General features: G+C 44.7%; 1 protein-coding gene and 1 non-coding gene across 8 annotated transcripts in view, besides 1 other annotated feature; both read left to right on the forward strand.

The window, feature by feature from the left end:
- Nucleotides 1–26,743, forward strand: part of CAMK1D (calcium/calmodulin dependent protein kinase ID) — a 485,999-nt gene that overhangs the window by 217,672 nt on the left and 241,584 nt on the right. The gene's annotated exons all lie outside the window — the stretch shown is intronic.
- Nucleotides 11,535–11,605, forward strand: MIR4480 (microRNA 4480). Its single transcript, NR_039700.1, has one exon. It is a non-coding gene; the product is annotated as a microRNA 4480 (primary transcript).
- Nucleotides 21,093–21,162: an enhancer, noted in NCBI's record as "active region_3046". NCBI's record gives its function as "activates an Ori minimal core promoter by ATAC-STARR-seq in GM12878 lymphoblastoid cells {active_cell/tissue: GM12878}" and the evidence as "EXISTENCE:reporter gene assay evidence [ECO:0000049][PMID:35858748]".

Raw genomic sequence — 26,743 nt, forward strand, 5'->3', positions numbered from 1 at the left:
ACCTTTTCCATCCTCTCCTTCAGCTGCAGGCCTGAGAGCTGTGCTGTTCCTTCTCTGTCCTGTTTGATCCTTTGCTTTCTCTGTAGCTTTCCAAGATGTTCTAGAAACAAAGGGAGGCAGCTTTCCCACGTACCATGATGGACAACAGAGCGAGTCTGGGGGACACTGGGTCATCCCGAGGGATGGCATAGAGTGGGGAAGGCAGGGATGGGGCAGCCGATGAGCTGAAAACCATCTAGAGACGTTCACGGTTTGGGGGATAAGCCAGGCTGTCCAAGAAGCCATGGTGTCTTCCTCCGTGACTCATTTCTCTACAGGTGTACGCACATTTTTCTAGGTAGAAAAGTAAACTTGTGGAAAGAAGTTTTCACGCAGGTGTTCAGTGTTCTTTCTAATGAGTTCTTGCTGGGTTTAGAGCCAAGTGATAATGCAGCTATTTACTTTAAAATGGTTTGAATTGCATATCCACAAATCCACACCAGATTTGCTGCCTGTGAACGTGTGGTTTCTTTTTGTTGATGTCGTCGTTTGTTTAATCCTGGTAGGACCTCTTCCAGGGCAAAGCCACTTGGTACAGCAACGGGGTGGGCAGCCCTAAAGCACGGCAGAGTGCAAATTTCAGAGAGTGCCTCGAATTTCGAGCTTGAATCAGAATGGTCAAGATACCTGGGATTATGTTAAAACTTAGGAGGCAAATCTGTTTGTGGGCTCTGTTTTTGACTGGTTCCATGTTCTGTTGGATTCAGAACATGGCACATTGTAGGTGGGGGCCACTTTTACTGAGCTTTCCTTTAAATATGTCTATAGAGTGGTTAGAAGTTTGATTTGTTCTGGGACCCACTCTCAGTTAGGCCTGCCCGCCCTCCCACCTTGCCTGCCTGTCTGCTTTCCTGCCTTCCTGCCCTCCTTCCCTCCCTCCCTCCCTCTCTCCCTGTTTCCTTCCCTCCCTCCCTCCCTCCCTCCCTCTCCCCCTCTCTCCCTCTTTCCTTCCCTTCCCTTCCTGCCCCTCCCTTCCCTTCCTTCCCCTCCCTTCCCCTCCCCTACCCTTCTCCGTCCCCCCTTCCCGTCCCATCCCCCACCCCTCCCCCTCCCCTCCACCTCCTCTCCCCACCCCTCCCCCCTCCTCTCCCCCTCCCCTCCTCTCCCCCTCCTCTCCCCTCCTCTCCTTCTCCCCTCCCCTTCCCCTCCTGCTCCTCTTCCCCTCACCCTCCCCTCCCCTTCCTTTCCTTTCCTTCCTTCCTCTTTTCTCTCTCCTTTTCTTTCATTTTCTCTCTCTCTCTCCTCCTCCCTCTTTCCCTCCCTCCCTCCCCTCACCTTTCTTCCTGGTTGCAGAGCAGGGCTAACGCCTAGGCCATGTGCCCAGAGTCAGCCTTTTTCTTTTTCAGTATTCTTTCTTTTTTTTATTCATCTTTTTTTGTTTTGTTTTGAGTGCTTCTTTTCTTAAAACCTTATAGAAGATTGTAGGAACAGATCAGCAAGCTGCTTTTGAACGACAAGCAGTGTCTATGAGTATGCTGCTTATTGAAATAATTTCCTAGGGGTATATGTCCAGTAGTGTGGACTTTCTGAAACAGTCAACTAAGTAAGTGATACAGTGTTTCCTTATGCAGATGTGCGTGCTTTGCCTCCCGGAGGGAATTCGTTTTGGGAATAGTCACCACTGTTATTATTAAGTCCATTATTATTATTCAGTTAATACAACTTTTTCAAAAAGATAATATGCCTCTTTAAAAGGCGATTTAGAGTGGGAAAGTTTTTTTTTCTTTGTAAATATCACAGCGACAAGGAGTGTAATATAAACTTCCAAATGGAAACTGTTCTGAAGAAAATACTGACTCAAGAAATCTACCTGAAGATTTCCATGGTATTGTTGCTGAGTCGGATGAACAGATGGTCTACATGGCAATGAAACTTTTCAGGGTGTATGTTTCAGACTCCTGTATTCTCTATACTCAATCATTCAATTAGTGTGGACCTTTAATTTCCTTTTTTGGTAGCAAACAGCATTCACTTACTTGCATAAATTGTAGTTATTTTAAATAAAACAACAATCATATCAACATGTCATTTTAGAATTTTTCATAGTGTCTTTTTTCAAATGGCATCTTGTACATTGATTACAGAAAATCTTGTTATTTCGAACTCTGTTTACTCGGCATACAAGTCCAATTGAAATGTATCTTTTCTACTACTCTTAAAAATTGTGTGGTGCTGGGGTGCGGTGGCTCACGCCTGTAGTCCCAGCACTTCGGGAGGCCGAGGCAGGCAGATCACGAGGTCAGGAGATTGAGACCATCCTGGCTAAGACGGTGAAACCCCATCTCTACTAAAAATACAAAAAAAAAAAAAAATTAGCCGGGCTTGGTGGCGGGCGCCTGTAGTCCCAGCTACTCGGGAAGCTGAGGCAGGAGAATGGCGTGAACCCGGGAGGTGGAGCTTGCAGTGAGCCGAGATCGTGCCACTGCACTCTATCTAGCTTGGGTGACAGAACGAGACTCCGTCTCAAAAAAAAAAAAAAAAAAAAAATTGTGTGGTGAACGTATTACAAAACTTACCTAGGAAAAGGAATATTTTTAAGTGCTCGAAACCAGTGTGTCCAATGGCAGTAGTGACCTTGTCACTTAAGTGGATGTGGCAGTGACCCTCCCGTAGGTTCAAGACTCTACAAGTACTTGAGGTAACTACTTTTAAAAATATTTTAGGCCGGGCATGGTGGCTCACGCCTGTAATCCCAGCACTTTGGGAGGCCGAGGCAGGAGGATCATGAGGTCAGGAGTTTGAGACCAGCCTGACCAATATGGTGAAACCGCATCTCAACTAAAAATACAAAAAGTAGCTGGATGTGGTAGCATGTACCTGTAATCCCAGCTACTCCGGAGGCTGAGGCAGGAGAATTGCTTGAACCCAGGAGGTGGAGGTTGCAATGACCTGAGATCGCGCCACTGCACTCCAGCCTGGGCGACAGAGTGAGACTACGTCTCAAAAAAAGTATATATATATATTTTATAACTCAGACTTGTAAATAGTTTAGATTTGTCATCTTTGAATTACTCTGAATCCAAGAGCGCTTAAACCTGTGTAAGAAAGTCACCTCACACCTCCAAGATGATTGATATTTTTGTAGATGCCGTTAATTTTTTTTTCCTCCTCTTCATTTACCTTTTTCAGATCTATGAGGGGCTGGGCGCAGTGGCTCACACCTGTAATCCCAGCATTTTGGGAGGCCGAGATGGGTGGATCACCTGAGGTCAGGAGTTTGAGACCAGGCTGGCCAACATGGTGAAACCCCACCGTCCACTAAAAATACAAAAATTAGCTGGGCGTGGTGGTGTGCACCTGTAATCCCAGCTACTCAGGAGGCTGAGGCAGGAGAATCGCTTGAACCCAGGAGGCAGAGGTTGTAGTGAGCTTAGATCGCACCATTGTGCTCCAGCTTGGGCAACAAAAGTGAAACTCCATCTCAAAAAAAAAAAAAAAAAAAATCCATGAGGACAGCAGCACTTTGGGAGGCTGAGGAGGGCAGGTAACTTGAGGCCAGGAGTTCAACGCCAATCTGGCCAACAAAAAGAAAATAAAAAATAAATTAGCCAGGCGTGGTAGAGCATGCCTGTGCTTCCCAGCTACTCAGGAGGCTGAGAGAGGAGAATAACTTGAACCCAGAGGCGGAGGTTGTAGTGAGCCGAGATTGCGTCACTGCACTCTAGCCTGGGTGACAGAGTGAGACTTCATGTCAATTAAAAAAAAGATCCATGAGGACAGGAGTGGTCAGTGTTGTAGGTCTCACATCTGGCTGTTTTTCCATCATCTCCTCTCCCAAAATGCAGTTGTTCCCCACTGATGTGGCCTCAGTGTTGGGGTCTAGTCTTTTGGGCCCCTTGCTACTCTGAGTGTGGTCCTTAGACCAGCACAGCAGTATCTCCTGGGAGTGGATTAGAAATGCTCACAGGGCCAGGTGCAGTGGCTCATGCCTGTAATCTCTGCACTTTGGGAGGCTTAGGTGGGCAGATCACGAGGTTAGGAATTTGAGACCAGCCTGGCCAGCACAGTGAAACCCCCGTCTCTATGAGGAAAATACAAAAAATCAGCCGGGCATGGTGGCGCGTGCCTGTAATCCCAGCTACTTGGGAGGCTGAGGCAGGAGAATTGCTTGAACCTGGGAGGTGGAGGTTGCAGTGAGCTGAGATCGCAACACTGCACTGCACTGCAGTCTGGGTGACAGAGGGAGACTCCATCACAAAAAAAAAAAAAAAAAAGAAAAAAAAGAAATAAAGAAATGCTCCCAGGCCCCGCTGCAAACCCACTGAATCAGAATGTGCATGGAAGCTGGATCCCCCGGTGATGCATTTGTATATTTACCTGTGAAAGGCACTGGTGTAGGAATCCTTGCTTCAGAAACCCAGGGTAACCTCGCTGCCTATTCTGTTCCCCAGTAGCATCAGTGTTGCCTCCATTGTAACACTGTCCTCATATCAGGTAATGGTCCATTTACTTGTCTTTCTTTCGTAGCAAACTTAAAGCTCCGTGAAGGTAGGGATGCTACCTGAGCTCCAAATGGGTTTCTAGTGCCTGGCAAAGTCCTTGCTACATTGTAGGCATTTGGTATCTTTTTAGGGGCATCAAATTGTACTATTTTCACAAGAGGAAAGATTAAGGAAAACAACAGGTATTCCCTTCCCTCTAAAACAATAAAAATGCTTTATTTTATAGAAATGCCAAGTATTTTAGATAGTTAATGTAAGCACATGTATCCTAACAAAAAGCTTTTGAGAGTAGTAAATATGTATTCATTTCAAAGATAGAAAGCAGCACCCAAAAACTAAACCCCCCCCCAAAAAAAAAGTTCTGATAGAATACATGAAATCCCAAGCAGAATTGGTACCAAATTTTCAGTTTTGTTGTCACTTTTTCTCAGATGGGAAGTGGAAGACTCTTGATTTGCTTTGGCTCTACGTCCCCACCCAAATTTCATCTCTAATTGTAATCCCCATGTGTCAAGGGAGGGACCTGGTGGGAGGTGATTGGATCATGGAGGTGTTTCCCCCATGCTGTTCTCATGAGAGTGAGGGAGTCCTCACAAGATCTGATGGTTTAGAAGTGGTACTTCCTCCTTAGGTCTCTCTCCTGCCACCATGTAAGACGTGCCTTGCTTCCCTTTGTACTTCATCCTGAAATCATCACAGTCTAGGGGTTTGTATTTCATTTGCTAGGCCAAGGGGTAACCATTGAAAATTTTTGCATAGCAAAGGATTGAGGCGGAATGTTGGGAAGATGAGGGATGATTCCTGTGGTGGTGTGTGGGATGGGGATGGATTAGGCAGTTTCAGAATAGAGACCAGTTGGCCACCTGGCATCTGACTGTGAAAGTCCTGGCTGGAGGGGAGGGGCCCTAGGCAAGGCAATTTACTTTTTTTTTCTAAAGTTTTAATTTTTAGAGATAGCATCTTGCTCTGTCGCCCAGGCTGGAGTGCAGGGGCGAGATCACAGCTCATTGTAGCCTCAAGCTCCTGGGCTTAAGTGATCCTCCTGCCTCAGCCTCTGGAATAGCTGGGACTACAGGCATGCCACCATGCACGACTAATTTTAAAATTTTTTTGTAGAGATGGGAAGTCTCAGTATGTTGCCCAGGCTGGTCTTGAACTCTTGGGCTCAAGCCATCCTCCCACTTTTCTTCCCAAAATGCTGGATTGCAGGTGTGAACCACCATGCCCAACCCAAGCAGGTTGACCCAGCTGGATACCTTGAGAAGGAAGAATCAGCAGAGCTCTGCGAGTCATAGGAGGTCAACAGGAGGGAGGCGAGTGTTTAAAGTCTCATTTAATCTGGGAGAATGCTGGGACCATTGACAGAAATAGAGAAGCAAAGAAGAAAGGCAAGACATGGTGCTGTTCATTTGGACACTTCTTTCCTTCCAACAGGATATCTGACGACAGAATTAATTAACATGACCCCACAGGCCTGTGAGAATGAGGCCAAGCCTGCAAGCACTCAGGCCACAGGCCTGCAGCCCTGGGATAGAAAGCAGGGCCTGCTGCTCTGATGCTGGGTTTGCTTCTGTTAGTGATGCCTGTGGGTGTCAGATGTGGAGCGGGAAGGAGAGAGGGCATGATGGAGACGATGATGGAGACGATGCTTTTTATCGTCATGCAGAGCTGGTTGACTTACACTGGTGGGTTACCGCTAGCATTGCCGAGATGCACTGCAGTCATTGGCACGAAAGTCAGCTGTGAGGCAGGACATCATCATCGTCTAGATATTTCAGGTGGACCAAATGGAGCACACACTTATTGGCAGTGTGAGTGGGGGACTCACTTTCTGCAGTTCTGGCTTCTAGAACAATGGTTTTCACTCGATAGACTGTGACAATTTCAGGATGTTACTAGCTTTCCTCTTCTTTCCTTCTTTTTCTTCCTTGCCTTCTTTCTTACGTTTTTCTTTTTCTTTTTTTTTGTTTTTTGTTTTTGAGTCAGTTCTGTCACCCAGGCTGGAGTGCAGTGGCCTGATCTGGACTCACTGCAGCCTTGAAACTTCTGAGCTCAAGGGATCCTCCCACCTCAGCCTCGCAAGTAGCTGGGATTACAAGCACGTGCCACCATGCCTGGCTTATTAAAAAAACTTTTTTTTTTTTTTTTTTTTTTTTTGTGGAGATGGGGTCTCACTCTGCTACCCAGATTGGTCTCAAAGTCCTGGGCTCAAGTGATCCTCCTGCCTTGACGTCCCAAGGTGCTGGGATCGCAGGTGTGAGCCACTGCACTTGGCACCTTCTTTCTTTAAATTATTTATATTGTATTTTTACATCTGCAGCTGTACTTCCTCACTTATCCACTCATTCACCAACCCCTTTAGGACTTGTCTTTTGACCAACCATTGTACTGAAACTGTTTCTTTAAAGACTTGACAATGATTCTTGAGTTGCCAAACATCATAGCCTTTGCAGAATGCAGAGTCCCCATGACTGTTCTGAAACACTGGGCCCTGTTGACCACTTCTTGACCACCAACCCCTTCTTAAAACTCAGATTCTTTAATTATGACATTGCTTAAGTACATTTGCCTCCCTCCTTCCCTAGGGGATCTTTCTTTCTGTTTTGTCCTTTTTTTTTTTGAGTTGGAGCCTTGTTCTGTCGCCTGGGCTGGAGTGCAGTGGTGCAATGTCAGCTCACTGCAACCTCTGCTTCCTAGGTTCAAGCGATTCTCATGCCTCAGCCTCCTGAGTAGCTGGGATTACAGGTGCACACCACCACGCCTAGCTAATTTTTTTTTTTTTTTTTTTTTTTTTTTTTAGTAGAGACGGGGCTTCGCCATGTTGCCCAGGCTGGTCTTGAACTCCTGGCCTCAAGTGATCCACCCACCTTGGCCTCCTAAAGTGCTGGGATTATAGGTGTGAGCCACTGCATCTGGCCTGGGATTCTTTCTTACCTCCTTTGCTGACTTCTTCCTCCTCGTGTTAGTCTGTTCTCACACTGCTATAAAGAACTACCTGAGACTGGGTAACTTATAAGAAAAGATGTTTAATTGGTTCATGGTTCTGCAGGCTGTACTGCAAACATAGAGGCTTCTGCTTCTGGGGATGCCTCAGAAAGCTTCCAATCATGGCAGAAGGAGGAGCAAAGTGTCTCACATGCTCCTCAGGAGCAGGAGCCGGAGCGTGAGTGAAGGAGGAGATGCTGCACGCTTCTAACAACCAGATCTCACGAGAACTCACTATGAGGAGAACAACACCAGTGGCATGGTGCAGAACCATTCATGAGAAACCGCCCTCCATGATCCAATCACCTCCCACCAGGCCCCACCTCCAACACTGGGGACCACAATCCAACATGAGATTTGGTGAGGACACGGATCCAACCCCTATCACTCCTATTTTTTTCTTTTTTCTTTTTCTTTTTATTTTTTGAGATGGAGTCTCACTCTGTTGCCCAGGCTGTAGCGTAGTGGCACGATCTTGGCTCACTGCAACCTCTGCTGCCCAGGTTCAAGCGATTCTCCTGCCTCAGCCTCGCAAGTAGCTGAGATTACAGGGTCCTGCCACCGGGCCCGGCTAATTTTTATATTTTTAGTAGAGATGGGGTTTCACCATGTTGGCCAGGCTGATCTTGAACTCCTGACCTTGTGATCCACCCGCCTTGGCCTCCTAAGGTGCTGGGATTACAGGTGTGAGCCACCACACCCAGCCATCACTCCTGTTTCTTAGCTGGGGACATTTAAAACAATTTGATATCCTGTCTCCTTTGCTTTCCAAATGTCCATCTCTGGAATCCCCCTTGGTTTGTCTCTCACTTTAATTTGGAGGACGTCCAGGGCAAAATCTCCAGCCTTCATGTCTCTCTAAAGCAGTGGTCTCCAAAGTGGGTAGACAAGATGGTCCATTGGGATGCAGAAAGAAAATGGTAGCACTTCCACTTATAATTTGATCTTTTAGAATGAGGAGGAAGTTAAGAATCATGAGTATTGTTTTGGATTGACAGTTTGTCAGGCAGACAGTCACAAGCCTGTGACTCATTCCCAGGGACCCGTGGACCCCCCAAGAATTCGCGCTCCTCTGCCTTGAGCTTAAGAAGACAGTGGTGGTTTGCATGTGGCTGGTTAAATGGATTTGTGGGTTGTATCCCCTAGTGTTACCTAAACCAACCTTCACAAAATAGACCAAGAATTTAAGAAGATTCCTGGAAGGAAACCATGGCTTGAAGATAATATTAAAAATGCAAGCGCAAGCACACAAGAGGATAATGAAAGAGCTCAGATTTCTGCTCCTGGGAGTTCTTTGTCAGTCATGTTACAAGGATAAAACAATTTAGTAACAATACAAATACAAATGAAATATTCAGTTTCATTGATCTCACTTAAAATACTCTCTTATTCATAACATTTTTCTAGTGAAAGCAAAAATGTGAACTGCATTGTTCCTAAGTAAAATAGTTTATTTATGTTGTTTCTTTGATCGAATTATTTAAAGTTTTAAGGCTGTGTAAGTTTTAAATTTACATAAGATATGAGTGCAGTGGTATCTCTGTTATAATTTATAAATTAATGTATCTATTTTGGGGGTTTTGTACCTGAGTATTTTGTACTGAAGGGGGCACATAGTTAACACAGTTTGGAGACTATTATTCTAGAGCAGTGGTCCCCAACCCTCTTGGAACCAGGGATTGCCTACATGGATGACAGTTTTTCCACTGACCGGAGGAGGGGGAGGGTGATGATATCAGGATGATTCATGTGCATTACATTTATTGTGTACTTTATTTTTATTATTATTACATTATAATATATAATGAAATAATTCTACAACTCACCATGATGTAGCATCAGTGGGAGCCCTGAGCTTGTTTTCCTGTAACTAGATGGTCCTACTTGGGGGTGATGGGAGATGGTGACAGATCATCAGGCATTAGATTTTCATAAGGAACACACAACCTAGGTTCCTTGCATACACAGTTCACAATAGGGTTCATGCTCCTATGAGAATCTTTTGCCACCAATGATCTGACAAGAGGCAGAGCTCAGGCGGGAATGCTCACTTGCCTACCACTCACCTTCCTGGTGTGCGGCCCGGTTCCACGGCCTGGTACTGCCGTTCTGGAGACTCGGCTCTGTATTTCTAGAGCTTTGTAGACAAATCCATGCTGGTGTCTGGCTTGGTCCTGTGCATGTCAGTCAGTGAGCACACCTGCATGCCGTCTATCTCAGAATGGAGAGCTGGAGTGTCTGGCAGAAAAGGAACCACATCTCTGCGAGTGACACAGAGCCCCAAAACCCAGCCTGGGGAAAGGGGTGGAGAGAGGCCGTGGAACCAGTTCCAGAACACTTTCACGTGCATCTTGGTTTCTAGCACGGACTGGGATGCCTTTGTTAATATGTGCCAGGCTGGGGCACTTGCAGGAGGTGACGGCCACCTTGACTCTGTATGCTGAAGCCCTCTGGTCACTCACCCATGTATGCTGCAGTCCCCCCGGCCAATAACACAAGCCAGGACAAGCCCAGGGGAGGTCCCCGGACACACAGCGAAAATTCCTGGCTGGTTCTGTATGTCGCCGTGTTGGGTTCCCAGCCCAGTTCCAGCTCTAGGCTTGCAGGTCTCTCACTAGGAACTATGCCTCCAGCCCTTTGGTGGATTAACACCTGCCACCTCCAGTTCTGAATCTGACCTCTCCCTCTAGGCCTCCAGCCTGGATCTACCCAGTTCTGGATTCAGATCGTTACAGGCCCAAAGCACTGAAACATTGCAGAGCACATTGCTTTTCTTCTTTATTTAAAGAACTAAATTAAGCATTTTAAACCATATAATAAATGTAAAGAGATCCAACAAAGTTCTGTTTCTGCCATTATTACTATATCATGGCTATTTCGGAATGATCAAATAGGAGATTTTTTTTTGTTTTCAAAAAGTCTCTGTCTTTCTCTTTTGTTGTCTGTATTTTGCTGCTAAGCCACCAGTTCTCGATTGGTTCACTCCCTCTTCCTGCTACAGATTGTCTTAGGGGTTCTATTCATGAGACTTCTGGAGACCTAAACCCCACTCCGGCCAATGCCCCATAACGGGGTATGATGCTTGGCTGACATCGTTAACTCAGCCCCTCCAAGATTATGCCCATTTTCCTCCTTCCCCACCCACGTGGTGTCCTCCTTGTTACCTTTGCTAATGTCATTCCCAGGATCCCAGTTATCTACGTAAAAAATCAAAGATGGAATCTCCACCTATTCATCCAATCATCCATGCAGTCAACAAATTGGTATTCAATGCTAACAGTAATATTGGCTAACATTTATTAGGCAAGCACAGCTGCCAGCGTTTATATTTGCATTATCTTACATCCTCACAGCAACTCTGCACGGAAGGTATTGTGATAGTCTGCTTTTTATTTATTTATTTATTTTTAGACAGGGTCTTGCACTATTGCCCAGGCTGGAGTGTAATGGCACCATCATGGCTCACTGCAGCCTCGACCTCCCGGGCCCAAGCGATCCTCTCACCTCAGCCTTCCAAGTAGCTGGGACTACAGGCATGCACCACCTTGCCTGGCTAATTTTTTAAAAAATGTTTTGTAGGGCTGGGCACAGTGGCTCACGCCTGTAATCCCAGGACTTTGGAAGGCTTAGGCAGCCAGCACTTGGGGAGGCTTAGGCGGATGGATCACCTGAGGTCAGGAGTTCGAGACCAGCCTGACCAACATGGAGAAACCCCGTCTCTACTAAAAATACAAAATTAGTTGGGCGTGGTGGTGCATCCCTGTAATCCTAGCTACTCGAGAGGCTGAGGCAGGAGAATCGCTTGAACCCGGGAGGCGGAGGTTGCTATGAGCCGAGATCGTGCCATTGCACTCCAGCCTGGGCAACAAGAGCTAAACTCCATCTCAAAAAAAAAAAAAAAGTTTTGTAGAGATGAGATGTAGTCTCTCTAGTTTGCCCAGTCTGGTCTTGAACTTCTGGGCTCCAGCAATACTTCTGTCTCAGTTTCCCAAAGTGCTGGGATTACAAGCATGAGCCACTGCACCGAGACCGATGACCCACTTTTAACAGCTGAGAAACCTGACCATTGCAGAGGTGAGTTGACCTCCACAGGGCCACCCAGGGAGTAAGTAGCCAAGTGGAAGTTACTTTACCTCTGTGATGATTTGCACCAGTTCAGTTTGACTTTAGAGACAACAAGCTGAAGCTCTACACTCGATTGACTGTTTTCAGGTGCTATGTGAACACGGTGGGTAGAGACGCATAGCACATGAGCCCTGTGCTGGGGAATGTGCAGTCTAGTGGGTGCCCAGAGGCACGAGCAGAAGACAGCAGCCCTTTAAGAAGTGCCATATGCTTCAAGGGCATAGGGAAGTGTGTCTGCTCCAGGGAAGGGGCTTTCACCGAGAAATTGAACAGAGCTTCAAAGAGCAAGAAACAATTGGCTGGGTGGGTGTGGGAGCGCGAGGAGTCCTCGGAAGGCGCCTGAGTGAGGCTGTGGGTGTGGAACAGCATGGTATGGGCAGGGAACAGCATCGTGGCTGATGCAGGATGAGGGGAGCATTCCTCTTCTTGTTCCACTTCCTGGGTCTGCAGTTACAGAGTCCTGCATAGCATTCCTCATATCTTTCCCTTCCTTTCCTTTCCTTCTTCTGAATCCTGTGTTGGGCCCCGTGGCCTTATCTCTGGACAGTTGCAGCAGCCTTTTCTCTCCACTTCTTCTCATCCATCATGTATTACTTAAGCCAATTTAATCATGTAGCTTTCTTTGATCATCTTGTTCTCTCCATTAAAGAGTGGCTCTCCATTGCCTTTGGAATGTGGTCAGACCATTGAGTCTGGTGCTCCAGGCCTTCTGTATTTGGGGGTCAGTCTGTGTTTCCTGCTGGATCTTTCATGATGTGTCTGTCTCTTCCCACTGGAGCAAACAAAAATAACTTTCTCTTCTCTCCATCTACTACTCTTTTTCCCTGTACCCTTTTCTTTCCCTACCTGTCAAAAATCTTGACCATCTCTCAAGCTCGCTCCAGTGTTACGCAAACATGAAGCCTTCCGGACCAGACCAGTCACAATTGTCTCTCTGTGCTCTTAGATGCCTTCACTGTGATGGGGACCGTGGGCTGCACCACCCTTGTCATGGTTCACACTTCTTAAGCGAGAGGTCGGATCTCTTCTCTGGATCTGTCTCCATGAGTTCCCACCAAGATAGGTTGGAGATTCACGGAGTGGCTTTGAGTTTCAAAAGCCAGTTTTGAACCTGCTTGTTGCCCTGGCTCAGGTGGAATTCTTTAGAAAAGTGTCCACTCTCAGCCAGGGTGGAATCCTTTAGGAGAGTGTCTGCTCTAAGCTTTTTCCCTTGGCCTCCACTGGGGCGTTTTTCCTTCAGCAGAAAACCCATGATGCCATCTCCTCTGGGGAGGAAAATACTGCTCTGTGGAACCTCGCAGGGCCTTTCGGCACAGCCAGAATTCCCTGGTGAGAGGTTTCCTAAAGGGTTAGTCATTCAGACCTGGCTGTGTGAGCCAGATCTGTCCTGTCTTGAGATAATTCTTAAGGCTACGATTTGCTCGTCAACATCATCTGTAACTAGTTTCACTAACAGATGTTTAGGAATTGGGCATCTAGGCTGTACCAATGTATCTGGACTAAAATATGCCCCTCCCTCCCTTCCTTCCTTTTTTTTTTTTTTTTTTTTAATATAGCTTTAATGGGAGACTGGAGCCTGCTGTTTCTCACCCCTTGTCTCCCGGGTGACAGTATTTGGTGTACAAAGCTAGTGACTCTGCAATTGTTGAATTAGCTACAGATTAACTCCTCTGAGAACTTGGTTTCCGATGAGAGTGAAACATGTACTTTGTATGCAGAACTCTTACTCTTCAAACAGGACTTATTAACTAGAAGAAACTTCACTTTGTACTTGAAAAATGGAATGTAAATCATAAAAGATTGTACCATTTAAGCCCCACTAGAAAGAGAAAAACAGAAGTCATGGAGAACCACATCCTGTTCATATGGACCCCAGCCTAAGAAGAATGCAGGAGTGTGTGGAGAGGGTCCTATGGGGAACCCCAGGAATGGCCAATGGTGGGAAATTAGGTTCTGGGAAATGTGTGTATTGTTTTGAAAAGTATTATTTTACCTGGAGAAATTGAACAACTGACATCAGCTAACATATATTTATTATTGTGTTGAATGGCCAGCATTCTGTGGGGGCATTGTGCTTTTTTCCTTTATTTTATTTTCATAGGTTTGGGGGAACAGGTGGTGTTTGGCTACATGAATAAGTTCTTTAGTGGTGATTTCTGAGATTTTGGTGCACCCATCATCTGAGCAGTGTACACTGTACCCAGTGTGCAGTGTTTTATCCCTTACCCATCCCCACCCTTTCCCCCAAGTCTCCAGAGTCCATTGTGTCATTCTTATGCCTTTGCATCCTCATAGCTTAGCTCCCACTTATGAGTGAGAACATACGATGTTTGGTTTTCCATTCCTGAGTTACTTCACTTAGTATTATGGTCTCCAGTTCCATCCAGGTTGCTGCAAATGCCATTATTTCATTCCTTTTTATGGCTGAGTAGTATTCCATGGTATATATATACCACGATTTCCTTATCCACTCGTTGATTGATGGGCATTTGAGCTGGTTCCATATTTTTGCAATTGTGAATTGTGCTGCTATAAACATGCATGTGCAAGTATGTTTTTTGTACAATGACTTCTTTTTTTCTGGGTAGATATCCAGTAGTGGGATTGCTGGATCAAACAGTAGATCTACTTTTAGTTGTTCAGGGAATCTCCACACTGTTTTCCATAGCGGTTTTACTTGTTTACATTTCCACCAGCAGTGTAGAAGTGTTCCCTTTTCACCGCATCCCCACCAACATCTACTGTTTTTTGATTTTTTGATTATGGCCATTCTTGCAGGAGTGAAGTGGTATCACACTGTGGTTTTGATTTACATTTCCCTGATCATTAATGATATTGAACATTTTTTTCCTATGTTTGTTGGCCATTTGTATACCTTCTTTTGAGAATTGTCTATTCATGTCCTTAGCCCACTTTTTGATGGGATTGTATTTCTTTGTTGCTGATTTGTTTGAGTTCCTTGCAGATTCTGGATTTTAGTCCTTTGTAAGATGTATAGATGGTGAAGCTTTTCTCCCACTCTGAGGGTTGTCTGTTTACTCTGCTGATTATTTCTTTTACTGAGCAGAAGCTTTTTAGTTTAATCAAGTCCCATCTATTTATCTTTGTTTTTGTTGCATTTGCTTTTGGGTTCTTGCTCATGAAGTCTTTGCTTAAGCCAATGTCTAGAGGGGTTTTTTTGATGTTATTTTCTAGAATTTTTATGGTTTCAGGTCTTAGATGTGAGTCCTTGATCCATCTTGAGTTGATTTTTGTATAAAGCGAGGGATGAGGATCTAGTTTCATTCTTCTACATGTGGCTAACCAATTATCCTAGCACATTTGTTGAATAGGCTGTCATTTCCCCACTTTATGTTTTTGTTAGCTTTGTCGAAGATCAGTGGCTGTAAGTATTTGGCTTTATTTCTGGGTTTTCTATTCTGTTTCATTGGTCTATGTGCCTATTTTTATACCAGTACCATGCTGTTTGGGTGACTATGGCCTTATAGTATAGTTTGAAGTCAGATAAAATGATGCCTCCAGATTTATTCCTTTTTCTTAGTCTTGCTTTGGCTATGTGGACTCTTTTTTGGTGCCATATGAATTTTTAGGATTGTTTTTCTAGTTCTGTGAATAATGATGGTGGTATTTTGATGGGAATTGCATGCTTTTGGCAGTATGATCATTTTCATAATATTGATTCTACCTATCCATGAGCATGGGGGTGTTTCCATTTGTTTGTGTCATCTACGATTTCTTTTAGCAGTGTCTTGTAGTTTTTCTTGTAGAGGTCTTTTACCTCCTTGGTTAGGTATATTACCAAATATTTTATTTTTTTGCAGCTATTATAAAAGGGGTTGAGTTCTTGATTTGATTCTCAGCTTGGTCACTGTTGGTGTATAGCAGAGCTACTGATTTGTGTACATTAATTTTGTATCCTGAAACTTTGCTGAATTCATTTATCAGAAGTGTGCTTTTTAATTTTAAGTCCTTGAAGAATTAGAACAATAATCCATCTCTTTTACTTTTTAGTGAAGACAGTGAGTCCCAGGAAAATTAAACACCCACTGTTTACCACAAAGTCATTGGCTGAGCTAGGATCAGCACATGGTAGTCCAGGACGCAGAAGTCCTAGATGAAATTTAAATTGGATAAAAACAATTTTTTTGCTGGGCACAGTGGCTCACGCCTGTAATCCCAGCACTTTGAGAGGCCAAGGCTGGAGGATCACTTGAGCCCAGGAGTTGAGGACCAGCCTAGGCAACATGCAAGACTCCCATCTGTGAAAGAACGAGATTCTGTCTCAAAAACAAAAACAAAAGAAACAAGCCCAACAATTTTTTATCAGGGGAAGATTATCTAGTATTGGAATGAGGAACTATAGTGTCTTGTTTGGAGAACTTGGAAAATACATCTGTACAGGGACAGTTGTAGCTCTATCTAGAGAAGGCAATGGATGGGCTGATTTCCCAAGCTCTTCTGCTGGGATGGTTCCAATGATATGAGTTTGGTTTTTCCTTAGTGTGTGACGTAAAAGAAATTGTCCTGGCAAACATATGGTTTGATACTCGTCATTGTTAAAATAGCATATCCCATTTTTAGTCAGCTATGTTTTAGGATAAACAGCAAAGATGATGCTTTTTTCTTAATAGGAAAATCCCTTAAATTTGATCAGACGTTGTCTGTCAAATGAGTGAATAGGGTTGAGTGTCCCTGTGTGTTTCTGCCACACTCTGTGCTTTGACCTTGCTCATTCAGGTAGCATTTCCCCTTTGACGTTTCTTTGGTTTTGTGTGTGTTTTGTTGTTGTTGTTTTATTTTTTTTTTTTTTTGAGATGGAGTCTCTCTCTGTCACCAGGCTGGAGTGCAGTGGCGCGATCTCAGCTCACTGCAACCTCCGCTTCCCAGGTTCAAGTGATTCTCCTGCCTCAGCCTCCCGAGTAGCTGGGATTACAGGTGTGCACCACCATGTCTGGCTAATTTTGTATTTTTAGTAGAGATGGGGTTTCACCACGTTGGCCAGGATGGTCTCGATCTCCTGACCTCGTGATCCGCCTGCCTCTGCCTCCCATAATGCTGGGATTTCAGTGTGAACCACCACACCTGGCTGTGTTTTAATCTTTTTGAGGCCTGTGTGAGTGTAATTGTACTAGCCAGATTTAGGATAATCAGGACATGACAATAGCCAAGTTGCCTGTCAGCACTCTGGGATGGTTTTTATGTGTCTTCAGTGTAAACAGTTTCTTCACCCTGGGAGCACCTATATTCCTTTTTATCTTTGCATGCTTAGAGAGCAGGAAGTTGAACTTGATTATCCCAGGTTCTGGTTAATGTCTTGTGAGTGCAGATTCTTAAAGTGATGCCTGAACCCTAAGACTTGTGTGAGTACTTAACTGACAAGCTAACAAGGGTATATTGATTTTATTTGGAAAAGTAGCAATACATTTTAAGGGATAATTAAGGATAAGTAAAATGTGATTCTCCAGGAAGAGAAAATTGGATTTCCCCACTAAAGCCATTGAGGTCATCGTCTAAGACGTAGGCCATAAATGTGTGATGACTCGGAGGAGGAGAGATAATGACCATGCTGGTGATGATGGTGATAATGGTCATAGCATATTCTACTTGTTGACTACACATATTTCTGTTGCTGTGCATATTTTTTCTCAGACTTTATAACAACACAAAGAGGTGGGTATCAAGGATCCAATTTACTGAAGAGGGATCTGAGACTCAGAAAGGCCCAGTAGGCTGGGCGTGGTGGCTCTCGCCTGTAATCCCAGCACTTTGGGAGGCCAAGGCAGGCAGATGGCTTGAGTCCTGGAGTTTGAGACCAGCCTGGGCAACATGGCAAAACCACAGCTCTACAAAAAATACAGAAATTAGCCGGGCGTGGTGGCGTGCATTTGTGGTCCCAACTATTAGGAAGGCTGAGGTGGGAGGGTAGCTTGAGCCCGGGAGGTCAAAGCTGCAGTGAGCAATGATCATGCTACTGCACTCCAGCCTGGGTGACAGAGCAAGACCTTGTCCAAAGAAAAAAGAAAAAGAAAGGCCCAGTAGCTTGCCAAAACTGAAATTAAAATCGAGGTTCCTTGAATTGAAGCCTTTTTTTGGAATATCACATTGCTTCCTAATACAAACATGCTTTACAATTCCTGCATTTAAAAAAGCTAACCAACAAAAATAAGCAAGTCACATATAGATTTAAAAGACTACCAGGAACATTTGGACTGCTGGGCAGCTAGGTTATGTCCTGATCATGTCAGTCATTAGGCTGGGAGCTAATGTTCAGATCAAACATGTTGCCTCCCCTACAAAGAGGTCTGTTGAGGATAAGCCCTCGCTGAGAAATTCTTCACAGCTCAGCCAGGCTTTCTTGGAATAATTGGAGATTGAAGCTGGTAGTTCCTGAAATTTAAGGTCATCAGAACCACCCAGAGGGCTTGTGAAAATGCAGATTGCTGGGCCCCGTCCCCAGATGCTGGGGCCTGAGACTCTGCATTTCTGGCACTCAGTGATGCCGGGCCTACTGGCCTGGAGGCCACACATTGAAAAATATGGATTTAAGCTGCCTCCGCCTGGGGTCTCCATTCTGACCCTGTAGTTGTTTCTCAAATGCAATGACCAAGTACAGTTCCTAGGAGGGCTCAGTCTGGACCACTGTATTTGTCCGTTTTCACGCTGCTGATAAAGATATACTCGAGACTGGATAATTTATAAAGAAAAAGAGGTTTAATAGACTCACAGTTCTACATGGCTAGAGAGACCTCACAATCATGGGAGAAGGTGAATGGCACATCTTACATGGTGGCAAACAAGAGAGAATGAGAGCCAAGTGAAAGGGGTTTCCTTTTATAAAACCATTAGATCTCATGAGTCTGATTCACTACCACGAGAACAGTATGGGGGAAACCACCCCATGATTCAATTATCTCCCACTGGGTCCCTCCCACAACACGTGGGAATTATGGGAGCTACAATGCAAGATGAGATTTGGGTGGGGACACAGCCAAACCACGTCAATCACTAAAGCCAGTCTTCAGTGACCTGCCATCTCGATCCTTCGGACACTCCATGGAGGCTTCTGGACGCAGCATCTGTGCTGCTCAGGGCCGTTCCTCTTCTCATTGGCTGATGTGCTCTGTGGCATCTGTCACAGGTTTTAATTGAAGGTCAGCAGTGGCAGGTAAGCCACCAGCATCATCAGCTTCTTTCAGCCTTTTGGAACAAGAGTGAAATTGGCCAAGGTCACTGCTATGACAAACGGTTGCTTGGATGGAGCCCTTCCGAGCATAGGTATTTATAGATCCAAACATTTATGGAAGCCCCACCATGAATTAATGCACAGTGGCGTTCTCCCACCAAACCTGGAGAAAGTCTTCCAAACATTTTTGGAAAACATTTTAAATATTTAAAAAATTGTTTCTATTCTGTTTCTTAGTAACAGCAGTCTAACACAAAACTATAGCATTTCTGTCATGGCTAAAGAAAGTCGATTCCAGTCCACTGAAGCTGAAGACATCTGGCCTCCTCAGCTGTAATCCCAGATACTTGGGCGGCTGAGGCAGGAGAATCACTTGAACCTGGGAGGCAGAGGTTGTAGTTAGCCAAGATCACACCATTGCACTCCAGCCTGGGCGACAGAGCAAGACTTCCTCTCAAAAGAAAAAAAAAAAAAAAAAAAAATTGAAGAAGGGAGATAGATGCATACACGAAAAGTTAGCTTTATCTGGTTAGGAAATCTACTCCTTTGTTAAAAACAATACCCATTCTCCAAAACTAGTACTGAGAGAAGATCCAGGATTAGCCTGACCCACAGCCCACCTGCAGCCTTGAGAGTAAGTTGCTGTGTCCCGAGCTGCAGAGAACCGCCACCCTCCTGCTGCCCCCTCACCAGACCTAGGCTGTTGCTCACCTCTTGTCTGTTGTTAAAATCATTTCATGAAAGAAAAAAAACAACAAAAAACTTAAAATCATAAAAAATACGGGATGGATGTAATCTCATAAAAAAGAGCAGTCTTTTAAGTAAATAAATGAAAGCAAACCTCCAAGTCCCTCATGTTCCCATACTTATTTTTTTGATTTCATCACTGACAGGTGAGAACTTGTCTGGCCTGGGAGCGGCTTTGGAGAAGTGCTTTTCTAGGTTGCTTCTCCTGCTGATAAGGACCATGACTCACAGGAAGGCTGCTCTGAAACCCCTTACAGGAGAATGGGGACCATGGTTGTGTTTTCTTGGTTACCTCTCACTCGGGGCATCTTCCCATTAGCGGTTTTGACTTAATTCACTCTGGGCTTGAGGCTCCTCCTTGGTAAGTTGGATAGTTGGAAATGATCTCTGAGTCCCATGCTCTGGTTTCATGGGTTCCTTTCCTTTTAAGGGAAAACAAACTTCTCTGCAATGTTAAGAGAGGTTGTGATGGTAAATAACCGAAAATTAATAAGCAATGACTGAGGAGTAGCCAGCCCACGATCGCTTTCCTAGAATATACTCTGACTCCCAAAATAAGCAGGCACAGACAACAGTGTGGAGCCCCTCTCATCATATCCCGCATGCAAAATTCAGGGAGACTTGGAGCTAAAAACGCATTGACTTCTTAGTTGTCTCCATTTGTTCTGGGTTAGGTGATGGATCCACAGTGACTTAGCAGCTTTGATGACAGCCGGGGCTTCTGGAGGCTTGGCGGCATGTTAAAACCACCTGGGTCTATTCCAGATGGATTAAATCAGGCTCTCTGGGACTGGGGTCCAGACATCATTAAAAAAAAAAAAAAAAGTCTCCCCAGGTGGCTTCATATGCAGCCCGAGTTGAGATTTATTGGACCAGACTAACAAACACAGCTGGAAGAAGAGGGCAGGGAGGACTCCTTAGGATGTGCAGATGGAGTGGCTCATGCAGGCTGCAGTGGAATTCCTTTCCTTCTTGTAATAAAACAACTCCTATTTACATATCATTTTAGAAAAATATTTTCCCCCTTGTCTTATCTGATGCTCAAGAGAGAATAGAGTTTGCCTTAGCATCTCCGTAGATTTGTTTTTTTTAGATGTATGACCTGTCATCAATAAACCCAGAGACATAAATTAGGGAATGGCTGTGCTATAGAAAGCACTTACTGATGTATTAAAGATTCTGCCTTCAAGCTCTTTTAAATAGTGCCTTTCTCGGTGATTTGGACTTAAAAATTTAAGGATATATGTACATGCAGCTTTGTGGGAGCACTTGAATATTAAGTAGTGCCTAGCTAAGTTGTGTTGAAATGAGTTGGTAGATCGTAGATAATATAAAGTAAGTGAATATTTCCAAGGGAGCGGAGAAACTTGGATGGCTCAGTAATTATGGAAATTGGCAGGGCATTTGGGGACCCCAGCTGCTCTTTGTCCCTTTGTCCCATAAATGGGTGACAGTCTGCAAGGCACGGAGCTCTGCCAGATGTTTGCAATAGTGGTTGGGTGGGGAGAATTTCAGAGCTGGTTTGGCCACAGGAAGATGACGAGCTTGTTAAGAATAATGATCGGACACCCTGCATATTCGCTGACTGCATGCTTAGCAAATTTGCAAACTAGCTTCATCCTTAAGGGCTTTTAGTCACAGAATGTAAATAAGAGGCACACCCATGAGAGTTTGCTGGAAAACAAAGAGAAACCGTGCTCTCAATAAGTGCTCGCTAATTGTTTTGGGATTTGTGACAAATAGGGAGCAAATATTGAGTCGGTACTTGGGTGATTTCTTTTCTTTCTTTTTTCTTTTTGCGAACTGACCTGGAGCCTTGGTCTCCAGGAACTTTCTGTTCCTGGCATGCAGATCTCCTGCCCCACCACCTGCACCTGCTCAACGCTCTCCCACATCCTGCAGAGGAAGGAGTAGAGGGCGGAAGACTCTGTTGTACCCGACATCCAAGAAAACCACAAGCCATGTTGCCATTCTCAACTTCTTTTCAAGAAGTGACAGCATCAAACTCAAGAGAGTTGTGTCAATTTAAAGTGCATATGTATATATATATACACACACACACACACACACATACACACATGCACATACATATATATGTGCTTGTATATATACATGTATATGTATATATGTGTGTGTGTGTGTGTGCGTGCGTGTGTGTGTGTGTGTATATATAACATGCCCCTATATATACATGTATACAATACACATATTTATATACAGGTGCATGTTACATACATACATACATATATATAAAGGGACACATTATATACACACATATTTGAGACAGGGTCTTGCCCTGTCTCCCAGGCTGGAGTGCAGTGGTGCTATCTCAGCTCACTGCAGCCTCCATCTCCCAGGCTTAAGCCATCCTCCTGTCTCCCAGGCTCAATTCATCCAAGTAACTGGGACCACAGGTGCACAGCACAATGCCCGGATAACATTTTGTAATTTTTTTGTAGAGATGGGGTTTCACCATGTTGCCCAGGCTGGGCTCAAACTCCTGAGTTCAAACAATCTTCCCACCTTGGCCTCCCAAAGTGCTGGGATTACAGGCGTGAGCCACTGCGCGCAGCCTGTATAATTTTTAAAATAGGGAACAGATTGTGCAAACATACAAAATGTGACCCAGAATGGTTTGGTGTCTAAAAGAGGCTGACCACCTCCATGTGGCTGGAGGTGGTTTCAAAACGAAGCCCGCAGGCCATGGCTGAGCTTCACTGACCGTGCTTGCTTTGCCTTTTGTGATTTGCATGCATTTCTCTTAAATGAGAGCAAATGGAAGCATTTTTGGATGATACCAGCAGAGCTGCAGAAATGAAAGAGCAGGCTCCCCAGCCCGGAATGAGCAAGTAACAAATCTTCCCTGGCCCTTTTCTTACCAGTGAAAATGTCTCGTCTTCAGAAACTGCCTGTCTTAAAAATCAGCTCCTCCAACACAGGGAGTAGCTTCAGATAGGGGTGGGCAGGGGGCAGCAGGAATTAGTAATTTTCAGCATTTACTACTTCCTAGGAACACAGACTTTAAAGAAAGTCAGCTTCCTTGGAACATTTGTCCTCCTTCATTGCAGTTATTTAGTAATTTCTGAGTCCGGGATTTTTCTGATCAGAACATCTTGTAAAATACAGAGTTGCTGATATTCTGACATAAACCCTCCTTTTAAATGCCCTTTGCAGTAGAGACCTGCTAGGGTAACTCTGATGTGCCAAACCTCAGAGCCAAGGGGAAAGAACAGGAGCAAATGACACTGAAAGCAAGCTCAAGTTCTTTGCCAATTATAATATGCTAAAAACACAACCGCAAGCTGATCCTTCTCTAGAGCCTGTAGGGAGGCCGTGCAGCCTGTACAGACTATTTGCCATTTTCTCTAGCACTTTCTGTCTCATTTTAGGTCACTGAATACTTTATTTCTTGCTGCGGAGTTAATGATATGCATATCTTTACTTCTCAACTAGAGTTCTTTGGTGCTGGGTCTCAGTCTTTTATTTTTTATTTTTAGAGATAGCATCTCACTCTGTCTCCCAGGCTGGAGTGCAGTGGCACCATCATCGCCCACTGCAGCCTCGACCTCCTGGGCTCAAGCGATCCTCCTACCTCAGCCTTCCGAGTAGCTCGGACTGTGGGTGCACATCACCATGCCTGGCTAATTTTTAAGTGTTTGCAGAGATGGATCTACAAAAATCTAGCTATGTTGCCCAGGCTGATCGTGAACTCCTGGCCTCAAGTGATCCTCCTGCCTCGGCCTCACAAAACATTGGCATTACAGGTGTGAGCCACTTTGCCTGGCCCTGGGTCTCAGTCTTTTTGCTTTTTCCCTTAGCACCTAGGAGAGTACTTTATTCATAGTTACTGTTCCATAATTATTGTTGAATGAATGCACTTGAACAAAACACAATGTGATTTGTTTTGTTTTCCAGATCAGCTCATAATGAATTATATGTATCTAACTGGGCAGACGTAAAGCTGCCGCCTGTAGAATAAAAGAGCCATCCATGATTAGAATCACAGAAGCAGAAAATTTTAGAACTATAAAGGACTTGAGATTTTAATTCAGTCTGTTTATTTTGGAGATGAACAATGAGAGTTCGTGGAGATCAAGTGACTTGCCCAAGGTGGAATTGCTGGTGACACATGAACCAGCCACCCACTTACTTAGACAATGACTGGTCACATGAGAGCTGACATTGCTGACAATTGTTTTAGCTACCTATTGTGGTACATTTAAATTGCATCAATCTTTATGCCTCCGATTTTCCTTGGAGAAGATAGCTAACCGATTTTTAATTTTATCTTCTCTGAATTTGTGGCTCATTCATTTCTTTGTTTTTCCTCTGTCTGCTTTCTAAAATTTCTTTATGCCGCTTTCAAGAAAGCTGACTGGAACAGTCTGTTCTCCCCGTGTTAGACACAGAGGGGTCAGGGACAGAGATTGATTATTCTAGTGGGCAATGGCCAGATCTTATATAAAAGTGGAGTTCTGACTTCCAGTCTGCAGCAGCCAGTCCAGGAAACCAACCAATAACCCCTGTAGCAATTGGCCCGGCATGCCCAGGACTTGATCAATTACTGGCAGCTGCCCTAATTTTTGTCGTGACTTCCAACTTCGGACCAAACAGAGAAGGCCAAATATGCTCCCGTAACCGATCACCCGGATGGGCTGCTTTTGTTATCCCCCTACGGCACCTGCCAACAGCTGCCACCCAGAGCTTTCCCTTCTTCCACTAAAAAGTGTCACACTTCTCTGCCTGCCTTTGAGTTTCTACCAAACACAGGTGACAGTGGCTGACTTCTTATTATAGCAAGCTCTGAATAAATAGCTTCGGCTTTTCTCATTTTGGTGGGCTTCATGTATTTCCACGTAGGGAAAGACCCAGGAAGAAGCCCGGCCCTGCTCACTTGACTGTTCTCTCTGTTTCTGTTCACGTAGGCAGCTCTAAATCTACATAATAGGGTTGGTTGGTTGGTTTGTTTTTTGAGACGGAGTCTCGCCCTGTCCCCCAGGCTGGAGTGCAATGGCGCGATCTCGGCTCACTGCAACCTCCGCCTCCTGGGTTCTAGTGATTCTCCTGCCTCAGCCTCCCAAGTAGCTGGGAATACAGGCACATGCCACCACGCCCAGCTAATTTTTTGTATTTTTAGTAGAGACAGGGTTTCACTATGTTGGCCAGGATGGTCTTGAACTCCTGACCTTGTGATCCACCCCCTCGGCCTCCCAAAGTGCTAGGATTACAGGCGTGAGCCACCACGCTCAGCTGTTTTTGTTTTCTGTTTTTTTCCTTAAAAAAGCCAATTTGTCTTTTCTTATTTCAAAAGGAAATATGAAAACGCCCCCGTTGATTGCTTGGCTGAAATTGACATGCACTCTGTTGGTGGCATTCTCCAGACCTGGTCACTTAAGACAGGAGAGAAGGTTGGGCCGGCTTGAAGTCCACACTTTAGTGTTTTCTAAATGCTTGTACAACTTTCATTTCATCATCTCCCTGCGATCTCCCAAGGAGGAAGATGTCAGGCACCCTCTATCTTTCTCCTTTCCGGAATCCATTCTTCTTTCTTATTTTGAAGATGAGGATTCTTCTTGTTTTCCAGTATTTCTCAATATAGATAGAAAGTCTGAAATCACAACTAAGGTTCATTATTTGCCAGCCAAGAGTATTTTTCTTTTAAACATCAATAATGAACTTTAATTAAAGTGATGACATTGTCTTGTTTTAGAGACTGTTTTATGTGTCAGTAAGAAATGACATGGCCAGCGTGGTATTTAGAGGGGTAGGCGACAGGGATTTAGGCATCCCCAAGTGTCTGTCAGCCCACCCAACCCCCCATTCTCTGATGTGTCCAACTGACGTTTTCTCAGTTTTATGTGAAGGCTCTGCAGATGCAGTTTCATGCCCCTTATTTCCAAACATACTGAAATCACAAGTCTCTTTGGTATAAAAGAATTAATGTATCTGAAGTGCTCCAAACACAGCCTGGTCCGTAGTAATTGTTCAATGCCAGCCTACTGCTACTATTTCTCCCGTGGCTACTAATAGTAATACTACTCATTATTAGGCAGAAATCCTGTAACAGCTACTTTCTCTTAGTCATGTTTGCCTTAGTCCTTAGAATGCTTTAATATGCCAGTCTCCTTTCTAAGAGTCCTCTGCTTAAAATCTCTCTTGTTCTCTCCTTTCTGCCTGGCTCCCTCCTCTTCATCTTTCACATACCTCTTAAATGTCACTTTCTCAGGGAAGTCTTCCTAAACTCTAGTCCAAATTAGGGTTCCTATTTTCCTCTTTCAGACCAGGGGTCAGTGAATGTTTTCTATAAGGGGTCCAGTAGTAAATGTTTTAGACTTTGCAGGCCATATAGGCAACTACTCAAGTCTGATGTAGTCTAAAAGCAGCCATAGATGATATGTAAATGAATGTGTGGGCTGAGTTCCAGTAAAACTTTATTTACAAAAACAGGTGGTGGGCCAGTTGTAGTTTAACGAACCCGTTTTAGGGCACTCTTTACTTTTTCTGCACAGTATGATTACATGATGATCAATCTCCCTCTGGACTGAAGCTTCTTAAAGGTAAGACCCAAGGCTGTCTGCGCTGACTCATGCCTGTAATCCCAGCACTTCGGGAGGCCAAGGCGGGTGGATCACTTGAGGTCAGGAGTTCAACACCAGCCTGGTCAACATGGTGAAACCCTGTCTTTACCGAAAATACAAAAATTAGCCAGGCATGGTGGTGGGCACCTGTAATCCCAGCTACTCTGGAGGCTGAGGCAGGAGAATCACTTGAACCCGGGAGGCGGAGGTTGCGATGAGCCAAGATTGTGCCATTGCACTCCAGCCTGGGCAACAAGAGCGAAACTCCGTCTCAAAAAACAAACAAACAAACAAAAATCAGAATTCACCACTATAAACTTCATCCCTTTAACCAAAAACCACTTGTACCCCAAAAGCTATTGGAATTTTTTTTTAATTAATAAATTGTGAATAAACAAAATACCATCCCCCGTGGCCTGTGGCCTTTATCCTTCCTCCCCTCTCTCCTAAATCTAGCTCCTTCTGGACTTACCTGTCCTCCCAAGCTTGGGCCACTCAACTTGTAATGTCTGCCCTTGGTCAGGCAGTTTTTGTGCTGGATTGGAAGTTGCGTTGCCTTCTTCTCTCATTAAAACATGGCCAGGCGCGGTGGCTCACGCCTGTAATCTCAGCACTTTGGGAGGCCGAGGTGGGTGGATCACTTG

Source organism: Homo sapiens, chromosome 10 (genome assembly GCF_000001405.40).
Source record: "Homo sapiens chromosome 10, GRCh38.p14 Primary Assembly".
Taxonomy (NCBI): domain Eukaryota; kingdom Metazoa; phylum Chordata; class Mammalia; order Primates; family Hominidae; genus Homo; species Homo sapiens.